This window comes from Homo sapiens, chromosome 11 (genome assembly GCF_000001405.40).
Source record: "Homo sapiens chromosome 11, GRCh38.p14 Primary Assembly".
Classification (NCBI taxonomy): domain Eukaryota; kingdom Metazoa; phylum Chordata; class Mammalia; order Primates; family Hominidae; genus Homo; species Homo sapiens.
Genome location: NC_000011.10, coordinates 12,045,542 through 12,065,935, shown reverse-complemented (window position 1 = coordinate 12,065,935; position 20,394 = coordinate 12,045,542). Strand labels below are relative to the sequence as shown.

The 20,394-nt window shown below is 46.4% G+C and overlaps 1 long non-coding RNA gene across 1 annotated transcript in view; it reads right to left on the bottom strand.

Annotated features, from left to right (window-relative positions):
• The window catches only part of LINC02547 (long intergenic non-protein coding RNA 2547), a 30,911-nt gene continuing 14,667 nt past the window's right edge, over window positions 4,151–20,394 (bottom strand). The window contains exon 2 of the long non-coding RNA NR_135109.1: window positions 4,151–7,402. This is a non-coding gene — a long non-coding RNA (long intergenic non-protein coding RNA 2547). The remainder of the gene's footprint in view (window positions 7,403–20,394) is intronic.

Here is a 20,394-nt window from a genome sequence, read left to right as displayed (position 1 = left end):
CAATAGGTAACCAATAAAGACGTGTAACAAAACATGAATTTTGGGGCAGGGGGATTATGAGTGATCTGTAACTTCTTCCTTTTGCTGATCAACATTTTCTTTTTCTTTCTTTCTTTTTTTTTTTTTTTTTTTGAGACAGGGTCTCAATCTGTCACTCAGGCTGGAGTGCCATAACATGCTCACAGCTCACTGCAGCCTTGATCTCCCAGGCTCAAGCAATCCTCCCACCTCAGCCTCCCAAGTAGCTGGGACTACAGGCATGCCCCAAGATACCTGGCTAATTTTATTTTTTTATTTTTTTAGGCGGAGAAGGAGTCTCACTCTGTTGCCCAGGCTGGAGTGCAGTGGCACCATCTCCGCTCACTGCAACCTCTGCCTCCCGGATTCAAGTGATTCTCCCATCTCAGCCTCACACACTCACACATAGCTGGGATTGCAGGTGCCCACCACCATGCCTGGCTAATTTTTGTATTTTTAGTAGAGACAGGGTTTCACTATGTTGCCCAGGTTGATCTTGAACTCTACCTGCCTCTGCCTTCCAAAGTGCTAGGATTCCAGGTGTGAGCTACTGTGCCCTGTTTATATTTTCTATTTGTTTTTAATGTTACTATGGATTATGTTCAAAATGAAAAATTATTTTAAAATTATATTTTAAAAACTTGTAAAGGAAAACATAGGAGAAAATGTTTATGACCTTGTTAGGCAAAACTTTCTTAGACAAGTCACCAAAAAGGGCAATCTAAAAAGAAAAACAAGGTAAATTGGACTTTATCAAAATGAAAATCTTTTGCTCTTCTAGAAATACCATTAAAAATATGAAAAGACAAGGCCAGGCATGGTGGCTCATGCCTGTAATTCCATTACTTTGGAAGGTCGAGGCGGGTGGATTGCTTGAGGCCAGGAGTTTGAGACCAGCCTGGTCAACATGGTGAAACCTCATCTCTGCTAAAAATACAAAAATTAGCTGTGCGTGGTGGTGCATGCCTGTAATCCCAGCTACTTGGGAGGCTGAGACACAAGAATCGTGTGAACCTGGGAGGAGGAGGTTGCAGTGAGCTGAGATCCTGCCACTGTGCACTCCAGCCTTGGCGACAGGGAGACTGTCTCAAAAACAAACAACAACAAAAAAAACCCCAAAAAGACAAGCCACAGACTAAGAGAAAAGAATTGCAAATCATATATCTGATAAAGGACTTATTTCCAGAATATATAAAGAACTCTTACAACACTAAGACAATCAACCAAATTAAAAATGAGAAAAACATTTGAACAGACATTTCTTTGAAAAAGATACACAAATGGCTAATAAACACATGAAAGGACATTCAACACCCTTAGTTATTGGGAAAATGCAAATTCAACCACGAAGAGGTACCACAGGATGTGAAGAAAGTGGAACTCTCATACGTTGCTGGTGGGAACATAAAATGGAGCAACCACTTTGGAAAACAATTTGGCAGTTTCTTAAAAAGTTAACTATAAACTTATTATATGACCTACTCCTAGGAATGTAACCCAGAGAAATGAAAACATACGTCCACACAAAGACTTGTATGCAAATATTCACAGCAACTTTGTTCTTAATAGGCAAAAACTGGAAACAATCCAAATTTCCATTGACAGGTGAATGAATAAGCAAAATGTAATAAACGCATCCACTGAGATAGTACTTAGCATAAAAAGAAAAAAGTACTGATTCATGCCACAACATGAATGAACCATAAAAACAGTATGCTAAGGGAAGGAAGCCACACAGAACAGAATACATGTTGTATGATTCTGTTTATACGAAATGTCCAGAAAAGACAAATCAATAGAGGAAGAAAGTAGATTTGTGGTTGACTGGGTTTAAAGTAGGACTATATTTGACTGCAAATGAGCATAGCATGAAATGTTTTGGGTTGATAAAAATATTCTAAAACTGATTGTGGACATGGTTGTAAAAGTATACAAATTTATTACAAATCATTGAATTGTATATTTACTATAGGTGAATTTTATGTTATGTAAATTATACTTCAATAAAGCTGTAAAAAGGTTATATTCTGACTGGGTGCAGTGACTCACACCTGTAATCCTAGCACTTTGGGAGGCTGAGGCAGGTGGAATGCTTGAGTCCAGGAATTCGAGACTAGCCTGGGCAACACAGCAAAACACTGTCTTTATTAAAAATACAAAAATGAGCTGGGTGTGGTGGCGCACGCCTGTAGTCCCAGCTACTTGGGAGGCTGAGGTGGGAGGATCACCTGAGTCTGGGAGGTCAAGGCTGCAGTGAGCTGTGATTGACTGTGCCACTGCATTCCAGCATAGGTGATAGAGTGAGACCCTGTCTCAAAAGAAAAAAAGTTATGTTCATGACCTTGAACCCAGTAAGTCATGCTAAGGGCACCATCAGTAATGTATATAAAGGCTTACATCAACCGCGCTCAAAAGAGTGTGTGTGTGTGGTTTTTTTTTTTTTTTTTTGAGTTAATGAAAAACTGGAAACAACTTGCATGCCTGGTAATAGAATAAATGACTAATAAGTGGTGATCCACTTGATAGAGTAGAATGTAGCCATATTAAATGATACATACAAAGAATTTTTAAGGACCTGTGTTAATGCTTAGGATAGAGTATAAAATTGTTATTATGGCCACATTTCTCCAAGAGTAAAAAGAGCTTATATATAAATGTTTATTTTTAAACATAGTTGAATTTGAGCTGTGAATGCATGACTCTCTATATATAATATAACCAGATGCATATATGAATATAGCTTTTTTTCCTTCTGGACATTTATACATAGTAAACTGCTGGTGGCTATATAAGTAATATCTGTTTTCTTCTTTGCTCTTTGTTATATTTTCTGATTTTTAAAAAAATTTTGGCCTGGTGCAGTGCCTCATACCTGTAATCCCAGCACTTTGGGAGGCCAAGGTGAGTGGATCACTTGAGCCCATGAGTTTGAGACCAGCCTGGACAGCGTGGCGAAACTCCATCTCTACTAAAAATAAAAACAATTAGCTGGGGTTGGTGGCTCGTGCCTGTTGTCCCAGCTACTCGGAGGCTGAGGTGGGAGAATCACCTGAGCCCAGGAACCTGAGCTGCATTGAGCTGCAATTAAGGCACTGCACCCTAGCCTGGGCAACCAGAGTGAGACTCTGTCTCAAAAATAATAATAATTTTTTAATTTTTAAAGATAATATATCACTCTTTCTGCCCAGGCTGGAGTGCAAAGGCATGAACATAGCTCACTGCAGCTTCAGTCTCCTGGGCTCAAGTGATCCTCTGCCCAGGTAATAAAAAGATTTTTTTTCTGCAGAGACAAGGTCTTGCTCTGTTGCCCAGGCTGATCTTGAACTCCTGGCCTCAAGTGACATTCCTACCTCAGCCTCCCAAAATGCTGGGATTACAGGCATGAGCCACTGAGTTCAGCCTGATTACTTTTTTCCAAAAAGCATGTATTTGTTTTTAAAAGAAATAAAAAAATTGTCTAGAGAATAAAGAAAGCAAAGAGATGGCAGATCTCCCCTCTCCTGGTCAGATGAGAGGCTGTGGTTTCCTCCACGAAGGGTACGCCCTGGGCTCAGTGAAATGACGCAGAGGGCCTCTCAGCAGCTGCAGACATCAAAGGCAGTGAGCCCACCTGGAAACAGTGGCCTGAGTCCCATTCATCCCAGCTTGGACTCCTCAGTCCGTTAGAGATTCTGGAACAAGGCAGCCTGATGCAAGGACACTTCCCTTCTCAATGGCCAAGGGGAAGAGAGGATCCTGCATAGAGAGGCCTCCAGGGCTGGCTTGTCACTGCAGGGTGCCAGGCAGGAAGGGGAGCAACGACTTTGGAAACAGACACCTGAGACTCACTAGAAACCACGAAAGCCCGGGTCTGAAGGATGCAGCTGTGGCACCAGGGAGAGGGTTCAACACTGCGGACGCAGAGACCCAGGTGTGAGCTCTGACACTGCTATGGAAGCCACACTCTGTGGAGCCTGAGGAAAGCTACTGATCCTCAAAGAATCTCAGTTTCCCCATCTGTAAAGTGGGGACAACCACATTGCCTATTTTCAAAGTGGTAACCTGTATCACTGGTTAATAGGATTCAAGGTATAAAGGGGTCATATTAGTTCCCCGCGGATGCTGTAACAAATGACCACAACCCAGGTGACTTAAAACAACAGAAATTTATTTTCTCACAGTTCTGGAGCTAGATGTCCAAAATCGAGGTGTCAGCCAGGCCATGCTCCCTCTGAACCCTGAGGGGAAAGCTCCTTTTTTGCTTCTTCTTAGCTTCGGGGGTTTCCGGCACCCCTTGACGTTCCTTGGTTTGTGGATGAATCTCTCCAGTCTCTGACCCTCTCATCACATGGCCTTCTTCGCCATGTGTCTCTGTTTTCTCGTCTTCTAAGGACATCCGTCATTGGGTTAGGGCTCCCTCTACTCCAGCGTGGCATCACCTTGATTAATTATGCCTGCAAAGACTATCTCCAAATAAGGCCACATTCCGAGGTTCTGGGTGGACTTGAATTTTGGGGGGACACTATTCAATCTAGTATGGGGCATTTGGGTGAAATAAATTTGGGGGAGACTGCCTGTCATAACCTCCCCCTTTGAGTTTCACCATGCACATTAGCCTATTAAAAGCACTGAACAAAGAACTATAGAATTTCCCAAAATTGCACACAGAATCTATTAACATCTGAAGAAAGTACCATTTCTCAGGACCCAGCCTTGGAGAGCCTGGTCTGCATCATAGGGCAGTTGGGGATTCTGTGAATGTAGCACACAATAGCAGTCACACTATAGGAGCTTCATCAATTTCCCTTTCTCCCCAGTAGCCACGAGTCCAGACTTGGGGCCATGCCCTTGACTGCTACCCATCTCTTACTAATGGCTTCTACCACATGTTGCATGCTCTGGCTTCAGGAAGATGGAAAGGGCAACACTACTCCATGGCTGAGTGGGAAAATTCCAGCCTTATGGTTGAGACCCAGAGATAACACTGCTGAGGAAGTAAGCTTCTCTTTTTTTAGGAAGAGAACTCTCCACTGAGCTCTTGGAAGGAAAAGTAGGGCAGGAAATGAAGTCTCTGGGATCCAAAAGCAAGGACCTGATGGAAGAAGCAGACGGCTTGGAGGCAGGTATTTGGCAAGTGCGCTAGGAAGCCATTGGGCTGTTCCCCCTCAGCAGGCAGCTCTGCACAAGGTCCTCTAGGAGCAAAACTCAGGAAGCTCTGGATTCAGATGCCACTACCAAAGAACAGTCCAGGTGCTTCTCCAGACCATGAGCTCCAGGAGGACAGGGACCCTGTCTGGCTTGCTTATTGCAGTGAATAGACTGGTAATTGGTACGTGCTAGGTGCTCAATAGAATTTGTATAAAGAGCCAACTAGTTAATAATCCACAGGACAGTTGCCTTAGCCTGTTGAGGCTGCTATAGCAAAATATCATAAACTGGGTGGGTTAAAAACAACAGCATTTATTTATTTAGAGATGGAATCTGTCTTTGTAGCCCAGGCTGGATTGCAGTGGTGTGATCTTGGCTTGCTGCAACCTCCACCTCCGGGGTTCAAGCGATTCTCCTGCCTCAGCCTCCCGAGTAGCTGGGATTACAGGCATATGACACCACACCTGGCTAATTTTTGTATTTTTAGTAGAGACGGGGTTTTGCCATGTTGGCCAGGCTGGTCTCAAACTCCTGACCTCAAGTGATCTGCCTGCTTCAGCCTCCCAAAGTGTTGGGATTACAGGCGTGAGCCACTGCACCCCGCCTATTTCTCAATTTTGGAAGCTGGAAGTCCAAGATCAGGGTGCCAGCATGGTTCTGGTGTGGGCCCTCTATGGCTTGCAGACTGCCAACTTCTTATTGGAAAGAAAGCACAGGAGCTCTCTGGGGTGGCTTTTTTGTTTTTTGTTTTTGAGACAGGTTCTCACTTTGTCACCCAGGCTGGAGTACAGTGGTGCCATCACAGCTCACTGCTGCCTCTGCCTCCTGGGCTCAAGTGATCTTCCCACCTCAGCCTCCAGAGTAGCTGGGACTATAGGCATGCACCACCCATGCCCAGCTAATTTTTGTATTTTTAGTAGAGATGAGGTTTCGCCATGTTGCCCAGGCTAGTCTCGAACTCCTGGACTCAAGCAATCTGCCCACATCAGCCTCCCAAGTGCTGGGATTACAGGGATGAGCTACCATGCCCAGCCTGGGGTCCCTTTTATAAGAGTACTCATCCTGTTTATGAGGGCTCCACCATCATGACCTAATTACTTCCCAAAGTCCCTACCTCCTAATACCATCACTTTGGGATTAGAGCTTCAACATAAACATTTTATAGGGACACAAACATTCAGTTCATTGTAACAGTATTTTCTTTTTGTTTTATAATCTCTTTTTTCCTGAAATAAAAAAGACATGTATTCATGTTATAAAATATCAAAAAAACACACAAACAGAAAACATTAAAATGTGTTAGAATCAAAAGATCTTTATGTGCTGGGTGCAGTGGCTCATGCCTGTAATCCCAGCACTGTGGGAGGCCAAGACAGGAGGATCATTTGAGGCCAAGAATTTGAGACCAGCCTGGCCAACATAGTGAAACCTGGTCTCTACTAATACAAAAAATTAGCCAGGTGTGGTGGTGCACACATGTAATCCCAGCTACTTGGGAGGCTGAGACAGAGAATCGCTTGAACCCAGGAGGCAGAAATTGCAGTGAGCCAAGATCTTTTGAAGATAAAATGGTAAGCATAAAAACCAGGTTACAAATTCTGTTTACAATACGATATTACTTTTAAAAACATGAATACGTAAGTATTGATAGCTACATGCAAAACTAGCTAGGCGGGGCGACAACGTGAGATTGTCTCAAAAGAAAAAATATATTTTTTAAAAAAGAAAAAATTTTAAAAAGATCTTTCTGAAGATCTTTTGAATTGTTACGTATGATTTGACTTCGTGGATTCCTTGGTTGCATAAATGCAAGGAATGACATTTTGAAATAGCCAAGATTCCTCCCCTCCTGTATTTCCTTCTTCTAGGACCCTTCGCCCAATCAGACGGCAGCTGGACTGAGCTGCTGCCATCACCTCAGGAAAGCCATGATGTAAGAGAAAAACACATGTGACTTTCAACTTTTCAGGTGGCAGAAAATCTATTTCTTCTCAGCGGGTATGACAGATTAAAGATGACTGTAAATTCTTCACCACTGCTCCCATTAGGAGGCGGGGTCCTTGCCCCTTCCTGCTGAAGCCAGGTGGGTTCTGTGACTGCTTGAGCGATGGAATAGGGCGGAAGTAATGCTATGCCAGTTGCCAGGCCCAAGACTAGAGACTGGCAGCTTCTGCCTCCTGTTTCCAGAGCCAGGCCCCTGGGCCTCCACGTAGGTGATCTGACTTCCCTGCAGCAGCCACACCGTGAGAATCCTGAGCTGCGTGGAGAAGCACCAGAGATCAGACCTCATGTGAAGAAAGGGCAGGAGGCCAAGGAGCACCCCTGGCACCCCAGACACGTGCATGAAAAGCCTCCTTCCAAGTGGATCCCTCGGCTCTCTCCAAACCCTTCCCAAACTCTTGACCCACACTGCTGCGACCAAAATAGGGTTGCTAGAGTTAGCAAATAGAACTACAGGATGTTCAGTTACATTTGAATTTTAGATCAACAAGGAATAATTTTTTAGTCTAGGTAGCTCTCAAATATTACATGGGATTGCATGGGACATATTTACACTAAAAAATTATACGTTATCTGAAATTCAAGTTTAACTCAGTTTAAATTTTTATCTGTGTAGTAGAGATAGAAGTTAATTTTTTAAGCTTGAAGATAAAATATTTACAGTATTTACAGGTAAAAGATTTGCAGTATTTTATCTGGCAAGCCTGGACCAAAATAATATGTATGTTTTATACCACTAAGTTTCAGCGTTTGTCATGCAACAATAGACAACTAGGATAGCGGGGACGGAAAGGAATCTGGAATAGCTGATACACCAACTGTGGAGGTATACAGTCTCTAGACAGAGCCATTTTTTTCACCCTTGGAAGCAAAAATAGAAATAAAAGACTTGGTGCCTCCTCCCCTTGCCTCCCTCTCCCAGGTTGAATCTCTTCCTGTGGGGTGGGACACACAGCGGCGCAGAGATGTAGGGAGTGACTTCAGAAAGCAGAGGGCAGCTGGGCCTTTCAGCGCGGCCAGTGGCCTTAGGGTGATGTCCCTGCATTCCAACAGGGCATGGAAATTCTGTTGCAGAGCCAGTGTGCCCAAAGAGGACTCAAGGCCAGGGTGAGGATGGAGGTGTGGACCATGACCCAGTAATGAACGGCAAGGAGGTCCTCTGTATTGGTCCGTTCTCACACTGCTGTAAAGACATTCCTGAAACTGTGTAACTTATTAAGAAAAGAGGCTTAATCAGCTCACGGTTCCATGGGCTGTACAGGCTTCTGCTTCTGGGGAGGCCTCAGCACACTTACCATCATGGCAGAAGGGGAAGGGGAAGCAGGCACATATTCACATGGCCGGCAGGAGAAAGAGAAAAGGGGAGGTGCTATGCACTTTTAAATAAGCAAATCTCAAGAGACCTCTATCACAAGACAGCCACAGGTGGATGGTGTTAAATCATTGGAAACCACCTCCATGATCCAGTCACCTCCCACCAGGCCCTACCTTCAACACTGGCGATTACAATTTGATATGAAATTTGGGTGGGGATACAGACCTAAACCATATCGCCCTTTCAGTGTGGACACCCTTCCACCACCTCACTCTCACCACCCCAGCATGGTTGGTACTAAACACCCTCCTTGGCCCTGGGAAAAAGCCAAGGCAGCCCTCACATGGATTGAGATTAATTTCCTTCATTCAGTGAGGTGTGTCTCAGAATAAAAACTCATCTCAGGTCATAGAAAATATGAAAGGTATGTTTCTAGCCCAAATGAGTTCATAATGTTTCTACCTGCCACAAACCATTTTATACCACACTGTAGTTATATTCAAATTGGACCAAAAAAATCTACATTTTTGTGCATTATTACTGACACCCCTAAATGCTCTTTCACATGCCATGTTCAGGCTTCCAAAGTCAGCTGAGGGACCATATCAAACAGTCACATGGCCATTGCAGGGCAGGCTGATTAAGAGCATGGACTCTGGGGCTAGACTGCCAGGCTCTGTCATCTAATGGCTGTGTGTCCTTGAGCTAATTACTTAACCTCCCTGGGCCTCCATTTCTTTAACTGTAAAATGGCAATAACAGTAATATTTACCCCAGAGCATTGCCATTAGAATGAAGCAAACCTGGCTTATGGTATGTGTTCATAAGTCTTAGCCATTGTTTTTTCTTAGAGCACTTACTTGGAGATAATATTTCTTATTAACTATCTAGTTATTGTTTGAGAGACTGGGTCTTGCTGTGTTACCCAACTGGTCTTGAACTCCTGGGCTCAAGCAATCTGCTCACCTCAGCCTCCCAAATATCTGGGACTACAGGTGCACACCACCATGCCCGGCTTCTTACTATTTTATAAAAACCAGCGGAAAATAGAAATGTAGAAATGCTGCTGCCTTTGAAAATCAAATTGTGACAAAGAGGAAATCATGCATACCAGAGGCAGGAAATCTTCATCCTCCAATGAATACCCTCTGGATTTGTCTGCCACCTGTAGGTCCAATTGTTAAGGAAAAAAAAAAAGATTAAAGAAAAACATACAAAATCTAGAGACACACTTGTCTCTAGCTATCAGTGCTCCACCTTGTCACCTCCACCACATTCACCATTTCTATGCACTCAAGCCTGGCCTCAGCTGCCTGCCTCTGGACTCGCCTCAGGACTCCCCCTGGCCCCTGGGGCCTACTGTGTGTGCTCTGCAGGACCACATTGTCAATAGGTAATTTGCTTAGTAAGTCATCTTTTACTGGCTCCCTTTCTTTTTTGGGGGGTGGGGGGCAGGGTTTCACTCTGTTGCCCAGATGGAGTGCAGTGGCGTGATCATGGCTCACAGCAGCCCCAGACTCCTGGGCTCAAGCAGTCCTCCTGCCTCAGCCTCCCAAAGCGCTGGAATTACAGGCATGAGCTACTGCACCCGGCTTATTATAGCTTTCTTTATTTCCTTTTCTTATTTTTTTTCCTCTCTCCTCTACCCTATCAGCATTTCTTGGAATCACCCCAAAAATAAACTACCTGCAATCAGATTTTTGTTTTAGATGTTACTTTTGGGAAAACACAAACTAAGACACATATTAAAGATTACATCTAAAAAGTTAGGCACAATCCAGTGATTTGATCCTGTCATTTGCAACAACATGGATGAACCTGGAGGACATTACACTAAGTGAAAAAAGTTAGGCACAGAAAGACAGTTGAACTGGCCCTCTGTACTCATGAGTACATCCTTGGATTCAACCAATGGTGGATTGAAAATGCAGTCAGGCCTATGAAGATTGTGACTTTTCTTGTCATTGTTCCCTAAACAATACAGCCTAACAGCTATATACGTTGTGTTAGGTATGATGAGTAATCTAAAGATGATATAAAGTTGGCCAGGCACAGTGGCTCATGCCTGTAACCTCAGTACTTTGGGAGGCCGAAGCGGGCGGATCACATGAGGCCAGGAGTTTGAGACCAGCCTGGCCAACATGGCGAAACTCTGTCTCTACTAAAAATACAAAAATTAGCGGGGTGTGATGGTGGGTGCCTGTAATCCCAGCTACTTGGGAGTCTGAGGCAAGAGAGTCACTTGAGCCCAGGAGGCAGAGTTTGCAGTGAGCCAAGATGGTGCCACTGCACTCCAGCCTGGGCAACAGAGTGAGACCCTGTCTTAAAAAAAAAAATACAAAACAAAACAAAATAAAGATGACGTAAAGTACACGGGAGGACGTGCACAGGTTATAGGCAAATACTATGCCATTTTATATAAGGGACTTGAGAGTCTGCAGAATTTGGTATCTGCAAAGATGGGGATGGTATGCGGGTTCCAGAATCAATCCTCCGAGGATACTGAGGGACAACTGTATTGCCTGATCCCATTTATATGTGGTAGCTGAAAAAGTCAAACTCAGAAGCAGAGAATAGAATAGTGGCTGTCAGGGGCTGGGTGGCAGGGGGAAAGGGGGGATATGGGGAGATGTTGGTGAAATAGTACAAAGTTTCAATTATACAGGATGAATAAACTCTGGAGAACTAACATACAGCATGGTGACTACAGTTATTAATACTGTATTGTATACTTGAAATTTGCTAAGAGGGTAGATCTTAAATGATCTCAACACACACAAAAAAATGGTAACTACGTGAGGTCATGGATATGTTCATTAGCTTGATTGTGGTGATCATTTTACCATGTTTCAAAATCTTTCTGTAACATCAAAACATTAAGCCATATACCTTAAATAGATATAATTTTTATTTGTCAATTATACCTCAATAAAGCTGGGAGGAAAATAATTAGTGATTTAATAATGTTTTTAATTTGGGGGGTGGGATATAAATATCTCTCATAACTTTAAATGTTACTGTCAGTTTTTTAAAATAAATTACATAAGTTTCAAACCTCTGACTTCTGGGCAGATTTCTAGGAACATAAAGGGCTGCTTGGGACTCAGTCACTCCTTCCCTTGATGGACACTTGGTTTATTTTCAACGGTTGCTAACACAATGCTGCAACCAACATCCTTTCGGCAAAATCTGGGCACACATCCTTGATCTCTTAAGCACAGATTCCCTAGAGGGAAATCACTATGTTGAAGGATGTGTATTTCTATTGCCAAACTGCTTATTCTCCCACTGCCTCCCTAGGCCTGGGTCAGAGTGTTTTCCCAGCTGAGTTCTCCACTTGCCTGTGTTCCTGGTTGAGGGGAAGGTAGCTAGTTCACAGGGCACACCCAGAGGGGACACCCAGGGGTGGCACAGGTCTGTGTCCAGTCCCAGCCAGGAGAGACTAAGGGTCACATGCAGGCTGACCCTGGGAACAAGGTTCAGGCCACTAGAGAATGGAAAGTTTATCTAGGGAAACCCAGGGTGGGGCTTCACCATGCAGATGGCAGCTGCAAAGGCTGGCTGGCCCATGCAGCACTTTTGTGCAAATTAGGAAAGGTTGTCCCTTCCTCAGGTTAAATAAGAAAGGTCAAGTTAGTATAAGCAGCCCTGGCTGTGTCCACACACACCACGGCCCACTCATGGCAGCAGCATGCACACACACACTGAGTGCCACCCTCCCCACCCCCCACAGCCCCTCCAGGTGAGGCAATCATGACAGATTCAGTCTTGGAGGTCTTGGAATCAGGCCTTAAAGGGTATCAAGCAGTTGGAGTGCAGATGGGACAGAGGCGCACAGGTGTGCAGAGTTTGTGCACACCCCCAAGTGCCACTGTGAATTTAGGCCAAAGGGTGCTCTCCCCAGCTACCTGCCTGGAGGCCTAGTCAATCTCCCGTCCAGTGTGCTCATGTAAATTAGCATGTCTACCATGTTGATGATAACCCTTAGATGTAGGTGCCCTTGAGCAGTGCTCAACCTGACTTCCTGAACATGGGCCACAAGGCACCATCCTTTCAAGGTCTATGAGCTACACCTGAGTGGCAAACCCCACCTGCTGGTGGGCTTCAGCTCCTCAAGCAAGACCTTCCAGCCCTGCTCAGCAGAAGCCCGGAGATGCAGCAGAGACTTCAGTGACTTCAACAGGCAGGGGCTGAGAAGGCAGGATCCACCCCAGACCACAGCATCTCCAGAAGTAGCTCCCTGGGCTCAGACCTGTCAATTAAAGGCATTGAAGATAAAAGAGGGAGGTTTCAGTAAGCAGCTGGGCAAGATGAAAGCCCAAGTGCTGTTTTATGGCCTCCTAATGGGAAGATTCGGATGCACCTTATTATGCCCAATCAAGTAATTATAATTACAGAAACCCGGGAGACTCAGAGGCGGCCTCCTGGCTTTGGCTTTCACTCCCAACCGGCCTTGACAAATCACGATTTCTCATCTCCTCGCCCACAGGAATCTAGGAACATGCTAATTGCCCCAGAGTTTGGCAGCAGGTCCCACCCACTCCTGGGCTAGACACCACGCACCTGCCCCTCCCCAGCCCAGGAGCCAGCGAGATCTAGCAGTGTGTGTCCAGCCAGAGCCTGGAAGCCAATGGGCAGAGCAGCCCCCGCCCTTCAGCCATGGGTAAACAGAGGGACACTAGGAGTGGGGGCGGCCACGGCTAGCGGGATGGCCAACTTGCAAGGGCCAGCTCGACTGCTGCTGCCTGCTGCACACACTGCATTTTGTTGATTTTATTGTTGTGCTCCCCCTATAAAAATATGAGCTCCATGAGGAAGGGTTGGTATTTGTTTCCCATTGCTGCTATAACGAGTCCCCGCAAACCAAACTTAGTGGCTTAAAACACAGAAATGTATTATCTTACAGTTCTGCAGGTCAGAAACCTGACTGTGCTCAAATCAAGGGCAGTGCTGTGTTCCTTTCTGGAGCCTACAGAGGGGACTCCAGTTCCTTGCTTTCTCCAGCTTCTACAGGCCGCTTGCTTTCCTTGGGTCGTGGCCTCTTCCTCCATCTTGGAAGAAGCCAGGAATCACATCACTTAGAACCCCGTGTCCATCCTCGCACCTCCTTCTCTGACTCTCCTGCCTCCCTCTTCTAAGAACCCTTGTGATTACGTTAGGCCCACCTGGATAATCCAAGGCACCCTCCCTCTCTCCCAGTCAGCTGATGAGCACCTTAATTCCACCTGCAACCTTAAGTCTCTCTTGCCACGTAACATCACATAGTCAGGATTGCAGGGATTAGGGCATGGACGTCTTTGGGGGCAGGGAGGATCATTATACCTACCACAGGGCTAGTGTCTCTTGTTCCCTGCTATAGCCCCAGTGACTGGAACAGTGCCTGGTTCATAGTGGGCCCTCAAGAAAGACGTGTTGAATAAATTCATGAATAAATACATGAATAACCATTAGGAATACTATTTAAGGCTGGGTACAGTGACTCACTCTTATAATCTCAGACCTTCGGGAAACCACGGTGGGAGGACTGTTTGAACCCAGGAGTTCGAGGCCAGCCTAGGCAACATAATGAGACTCCCAGTCTCTACAAAAAATAAAAAATAAAAAATTAGCCGGGTGTGGTGGGGTGCACCTCTAGTCCCAGCTATCTGGGAGGCTGAGGTAGAAGGATCGCTTGAGCCTGGGAGGTAGAGGCTGTAGTGAGCTATGATCACACCATTGCACGGGGTGAGACCCTGTCACACACAAAAAGAGTAAATTTAATATTATAGCAAACAGCTATCACGCTTACTAAGTGCCAGGCACTGTTCAAAGTGCTTTACAAATATTTACTCATTTAATCCCCAACAGTTCTATGACGTACATTTTGTTATTATCTGCATTCTACAGATGAGGAAATTAAGGCACCAAGGAGGAGCTCGCCCAAGGCGCCACAGCTAGTGAGTGGTGAAGCTGGGATTTGCTCTCACGTTTACCGAGCCTACCTATTATGCATCCGGCCCTGGCTGAGCATGTTACATTTCTGATCTCATTTCATCCTCAGAGAGGCCATAAGGGATGTGGGTGGAATAGGAACAGAATTAACAGGCACAGAATTAAGTCACTGGAGCAGCTGAGGAACTCTGAGAGATTCTGTGGCTCAGCTGGGGCAATGAATTGTGTATTGCTTTTTGAGCCTCCTTTGCTAATTAGACCAGGGCCCACCCCCGCAAGCAGACCACAGGTGTCTGGGTTCCCACCATGATGTGGGGCTCCTGCCTCAGCCCTTGCTCCCAGCTTCTGCCCCTAACCGTTGCAACTGGTGCCCAGGCCGCTGCAGATGGCAGCAGGCCATGACCTTCACCTGAAGCTGGACCTGGCAGGTCTGCCTCCAGGAAACCTCTTCCCCAAGGGACAGGAACTGGCTTCAAACCTCACCCAGAGCTCAAGTTGCTTTGCCCTTTTCACTGATGACAACCGTGGGGACCCCCATAGCTGGGCCCTATTCATATTTTGCACATCCTGGAGCTGTTTGCTCTCTACATGCTGGCCTCGGCCACCAGCCCTGTGACAAGCTGCCCCTCTGTGATAAGCTCCCCACCCAGAAGCATGCCCCTAAGACCACAAGCACCAAAACCTGCAGGAAGCCCCTAAACATGGCCCCCAGTTCCCTCCAGCTCTGCAGGGAGAGTGCTGCTCAGGCAGGGAGGGGGAACTGCGCTCTCTCACTTGCATCTTAACCTTTGCAATCAAAGCCAAGAGGAGGGAAACTCTTGTGCCTGCCAGCACAGTGGGGCATCGCATTTTCTGTTCCTGCCAGCACATTTTTCTAGGTCAATGTCAGATCAGGGAAATCCAATACTGCATGTCCCAACGTTTTATTTGAAAACAGAGAAGTTGCTTTCCAAAATAAATAGCGTTTACAAGTAAAGCCTGGAGAAGCCTCTGTCAGAAATGGACTCTGGGCCCAGGCAGGATAGACGTTTCCTAGTGGCTTTGATTGATGTAAACCCAATGTCAGCCCCAGCTCCAGGCCTAAAAGGAGAGGCTGGGCTGAGGAAGAACACGTGTATATACACATACGTATTGATGTGTGCCCGTACATATGCATTTGCATGTATCCTTAAGGGTCTCTGGGTATGATTAGCATGAAGAGTAAGTTGGGGGGCTTATATGTGTGTCCTTATATGTGTTTATGTGTACAGGCATGTGAATGTGACTGTGTGTGCCTGTGTATGTGTGTGATGTGACACCCAGCCCTGTTTCTCAGACACCCAGTCCTCTTTCTAGACACCCCCTTCTTCTCCTCCTTGTACCTGTTCTTTTTCTTTTTTCTTTTTTTTTTTTTTTGACACAGAGTCTCGCACTGTCACCCAGGCTGGAGTGCAGTGACGCGATCTTGGCTCACTGCAACCTCCGCCTCCCAGGTTCAAGTGATTCTCCTCCCTCAGCCTCCCAAGTAGCTGGGATTACAGGCCCAGCTAATTTTTTGTATTTTTAGTACAGACAGGGTTTCACTGTGTTGGCCAGGCTGGTCTTGAACTCCTGACATCGTGATCTGCCCGCCTTGGCCTCTCAAAGTGCTGGGATTATAGGCGCGAGCCACCGCACCCGGCCCCTGTTCTTTTTCTTAACTGATTAAGGGGCTGGGGCTCAGATCTTGACACACTGTGACAGGCATTTCCTCTGCTCTGTTTCTTCTTGGTGCCTACCCACTGCTCCTTCCCAATTTGATGTTGACTTGTTGTGTAGACCAATGGAGTCCAGTTTTTGGTTACTGTGTTAGGACCCAGCAATTTGAGCCCAGGCTATGTTAACAGCGCTCTGTAAATGGTACCATGCACTGCCCCGGAAGGCCGCTGGTGTCACTTCTCGCTGACGTCACCCTGACTGCAGGATCTCCCTCACAGACCTCCGACTTCTGCTGTCAGTGCAATCCTCCCCAGGCCTTGCCAGTTTCCATGCTCAAGGCCCCGCCTGCCTGATGACCACCTGTCTCATTAAACTTAAGCAACTCAGCCTGGCTTCCAAGATCTGAGTATCTTCTTAGCAAATTCTCTTCTCAGGAAGTGTGTCCCCTTCCTGAGCACCTCGGCCAAGCTGCCCCATACTGTGTTAGCTCTGGCCCCTCCCTTACCCACCTCTGAGCATTTCTTTGCTCACGCTGTTCCTCTGCCCTCACACCATTCCCTGCTGCCACTTCTCTCTCATTGGCTCTGCCGGTCCAAACTCTACGCTGTTTCAAGACCAGTTCTAATCTCACCCACTTTCTCTACGAGGACTTAGAAGAGCCTCCCACCCCACACTACTTTCCCATCAGACTCTGGCTCACGGGATGACACACTGCCCTGTGTGTTGCCTAAGAATTGTTTTCAGGTTGCTTCATGGGCCTTATCTTGCCTTCTGACCTAGATTGCAATCTCCTTCTAGGCAAGAATCAAGCCCGGTGCAAGAATCAAGCCCGGTGCTGCCTTTGAACGAGATGTGGAACCCGACACAGGTCTGGACACAGTATAGCCAGGGGATGAGGGCTTGTGGGTGAGTGCACGCAGAAAGGCACACTCGGCTGGGGCGGTAAGGCCGCAAAACTGTGTCCTAGGCACTGCGTTTTGTGATTTATCTGTCTTAGCTCATCTAATAATAACTGTGGCGGCAGGGTGATATTATCCCCAGTTTAGAGATGAGAAAACAGAGATTGAAAGAGATTAAGTGACTTCTCTGAAGCCACAAAAGTAGTCCAGTTGTCTCTTGCTAACTGTGGGGGTTTGGTTGCCTGATCCCCTTGAATACCAAAGTCTGCGGATGCTCAAGTCCCGTGTCAGCCCTGCAGAGCCCTTGCATAGAGGACACTTTGCTTGTAACCAGCAAAATCAGGGGTTAATCCTAGGTGGGTCTGACTGCCTTTCTCATAACCTTGTAACAACCATATCCATGGGAGGCAGCATGCTAACAGTGAACTCTCTGAAATTCTAAAGCACACCCTACCCACAAGAGATCAGAGCAAGTTCTAGGGTGGCACTGTCCAACAGAACTTTCAATGATGGAAATGTTTATTTCTGTGCTGACATGAGAGCCACTGGCCACATGTGGCCATCGAGTACTTGAAATGTGGCTAATGAAGTAAAGAACTGGATTTTAAATTTTATTTTATCTTAATTTGTTTATTTATTTGAGACAGGGTCTTGCTCTGTCACCCAGGCTGGAGTGCAGTGGCGTGATCTTGGCTCATCGTAGCCTCAACTTCCTGGGCTCAGGTGATTCTCCCACCTCAGCCTCCCAAGTAGCTAGGACTATAGGTATGCACCACCATGCCCGGCTAAGTATTTTGGTAGAGACAGGTTTCAACAAGTTGCCCAGCCTGGTCTCAGACTCCTGGGGTCAAGAGATCTGCCCACCTCAGCCTCCCAAAGTGCTGGGATTATAGGTATGAGCTACCACCCCCCAGCCTGCTTATTTAATCTTAATTAAAACGTAAGTACTGTGGTCACATGTAGCTAGTGGCTTCCATATTGGATAGTGCTTCCCAACCACGTCCATGTCAAGTCAACATAGAAAATACTAATTACGCAATAATGAGACTGTTTGCTGCCAGAGGCAACTGGCTCAAGGGGTCCTGCCTTCCTGACCCCACCTAGCCTCCCTCAACAAATCTGTAGGCCACTTTAGGCACACTAGCTCTTCACAATGGTCAAGCTTCCTGCCAGCTCCCAGCCTCTGGGCCTGGAACACCAAAGTCATTGTGATCGTAAGAAATGCCAGCATAGGAGATGTGCAGGACCTTGTCAGTTCTTGCATGGTGTCCTTTCCTCCATTCCACACACAGTGCCTGGCCCTGGGCAGGGGCTGGGGTAAAAAGAACTCAGAGCCAGCCCTCACTAAGCACTCCCACGAGGCCATCTGATTCATATGCCCCAAACTGTTCTTTTTTGGCAGCACTTTGGCGCCCCCTCCTGGGCATCCTGCAGAGTTCAGGTGCGCATAAATTTGCCAGGAGGGGACAAGGACTTGGCCCTGGGACTGACCGCAGGGCTGTCAAAGACTTCCAGCCCCCCTGGCCAGCCAAGTGAGGGAATGCCTGCCCTTTTTCCAGGCCCAACTGGGGCAGCTCTTTTTCCTGCAGGGAAAAGGCACTTTACTGGCAGCCCTGGGGAAGAGGCAGGGGAGGCAGCTGAGTCTGGAAACGGGAGCATTCCAGAGCCCAGGCCTCTAGGCCCCTGTGCACTCTTCACACTGTGCCAACCCTGGATTTTCAGAGAGAAACCAGAGAGGATGGCTTGGCAGAGGCCCTTTTGGAGGTAACTGGGAAGCAGGAGAGGATGTGAAGTCAAGGCTGGTCTCTGAAGTGGAGGAGTTGGCCACAGGGAGAGAGGAGATAGGAAAGGACTTTGCAGTGGAGGGGGCAGCCAGGGAAAGCCCTGGAGGAGAAGGGGAGGGTGATCACCAGGGCATTAAAGCGGTCAGCGTGGCTGGAGTGGAGAGGTTGAGTGGAGATGAGGGAGGTGGTGAGGCTGCTGAGGTGAGGAGGCTGAGGTAGGAGGATCGAATGAGCCCCAGAGATCAAGGCTGCAGTGAACCGAGATCATGCCACTACACTCCCACCTGGGCACTGGAACAAGACCCTGTCTAAAAGAAAATGTGAAAACCATTCTTAGCTCTTAGGGCATACAGACACAGGTGGCAGGCAGAGTTTGGCTTGAGAGCTATAGTTCACTCACTCTCATTCTATCAGAAGGTGCCTGGATGGTGCATGGACAGGCCAACCCCTCTCCCACCCTCCAGCCTTTCCCCATCGCTTCACTTTCAAGTCTCATGCAGCCAGCCAGCCAGGTTTAAACACCACCTCCTCCAAGAGGACTTTTCTTACCTTCCCAGTCCAAGTTAGCCTCCCCCACTGTATTACTCCATTTTCACACTGCTGTAAAGAACTGCCTGAGACGGGGTAATTTATAAAGAAAAGAGGTTTAACTGACTCACAGTTCCACAGGCTTAACAGGAAGCATGACTGGGAAGCCTCATGACACTAACAATCATGGCGGAAGGCGAAGAGGAAGCAAGGACCTTCTTCACATGGTGGCAGGACAGAGAGCAAGGGAATCTACCACACGCTTTTAAACCATTAGATCTCATGAGAACTCACTATCACTAGAATGGCAAGGGGGAAAACAGCCCCCATGATCCAATCACCTCCTACCAAGTCCCTTCCTCCACACGTGGGGATTACAATTCTAGATGAGATTTGGGTGGGGACAGAGAGCCCAACCATATCACCCATCAACTTTGTGCCCCTTATAAAGTTACTGACCAGTAACTTACTGACCTCTGGGTGTGTATATGTGTGTGTGTATATATGTTTGTGTGTGTGTGTGCATGTGTGTGTATGTGCATGTGTGTGTTTGTATGTGTGTGGATATGTGTGTGTGTGTGTATTTGTGTATGTGTGTGTATTGTGTATATGTGTGTGAGCGCCTTTCCTTGCACCAGCCCTGTGCTGTGCCGTGCAGTAGCCACTAGCCACATGTGGCTATTTAGGGCTTGAAATGTGGTGAGTCCAAATTGAGATGTGCTGTGGGTGTAAAATACACACAGAATTTCAAGCAGCATAGAAAACAAGAATATAAAATATTTCATTAATTTTCCAGCTCTTAGGGAAGTTGATGAATTTTAATTACTGAATTTTATTTTAATTACATTTTAAAATGACAAGATATTGGATATATCTTATTAAATGTATTATTATTAAATTTATTTTTATGGTGTTTCTTTTTACCTTTTTTTTTTTTTTTTTTTTTGAGACAGGGTCTCACTCTGTCCCCTAGGCTGGAGTGCAGTGGCATAATCATGGCTCACTGCAGTCTTGAACTCCTGGGCTCCAGCAATCCTCCACCTCAGCCTCCTGAGTAGCTGGGACTACAGGGCACACCACCATGCCTGGCTAATTTTTATATTTTTTTGTGGAG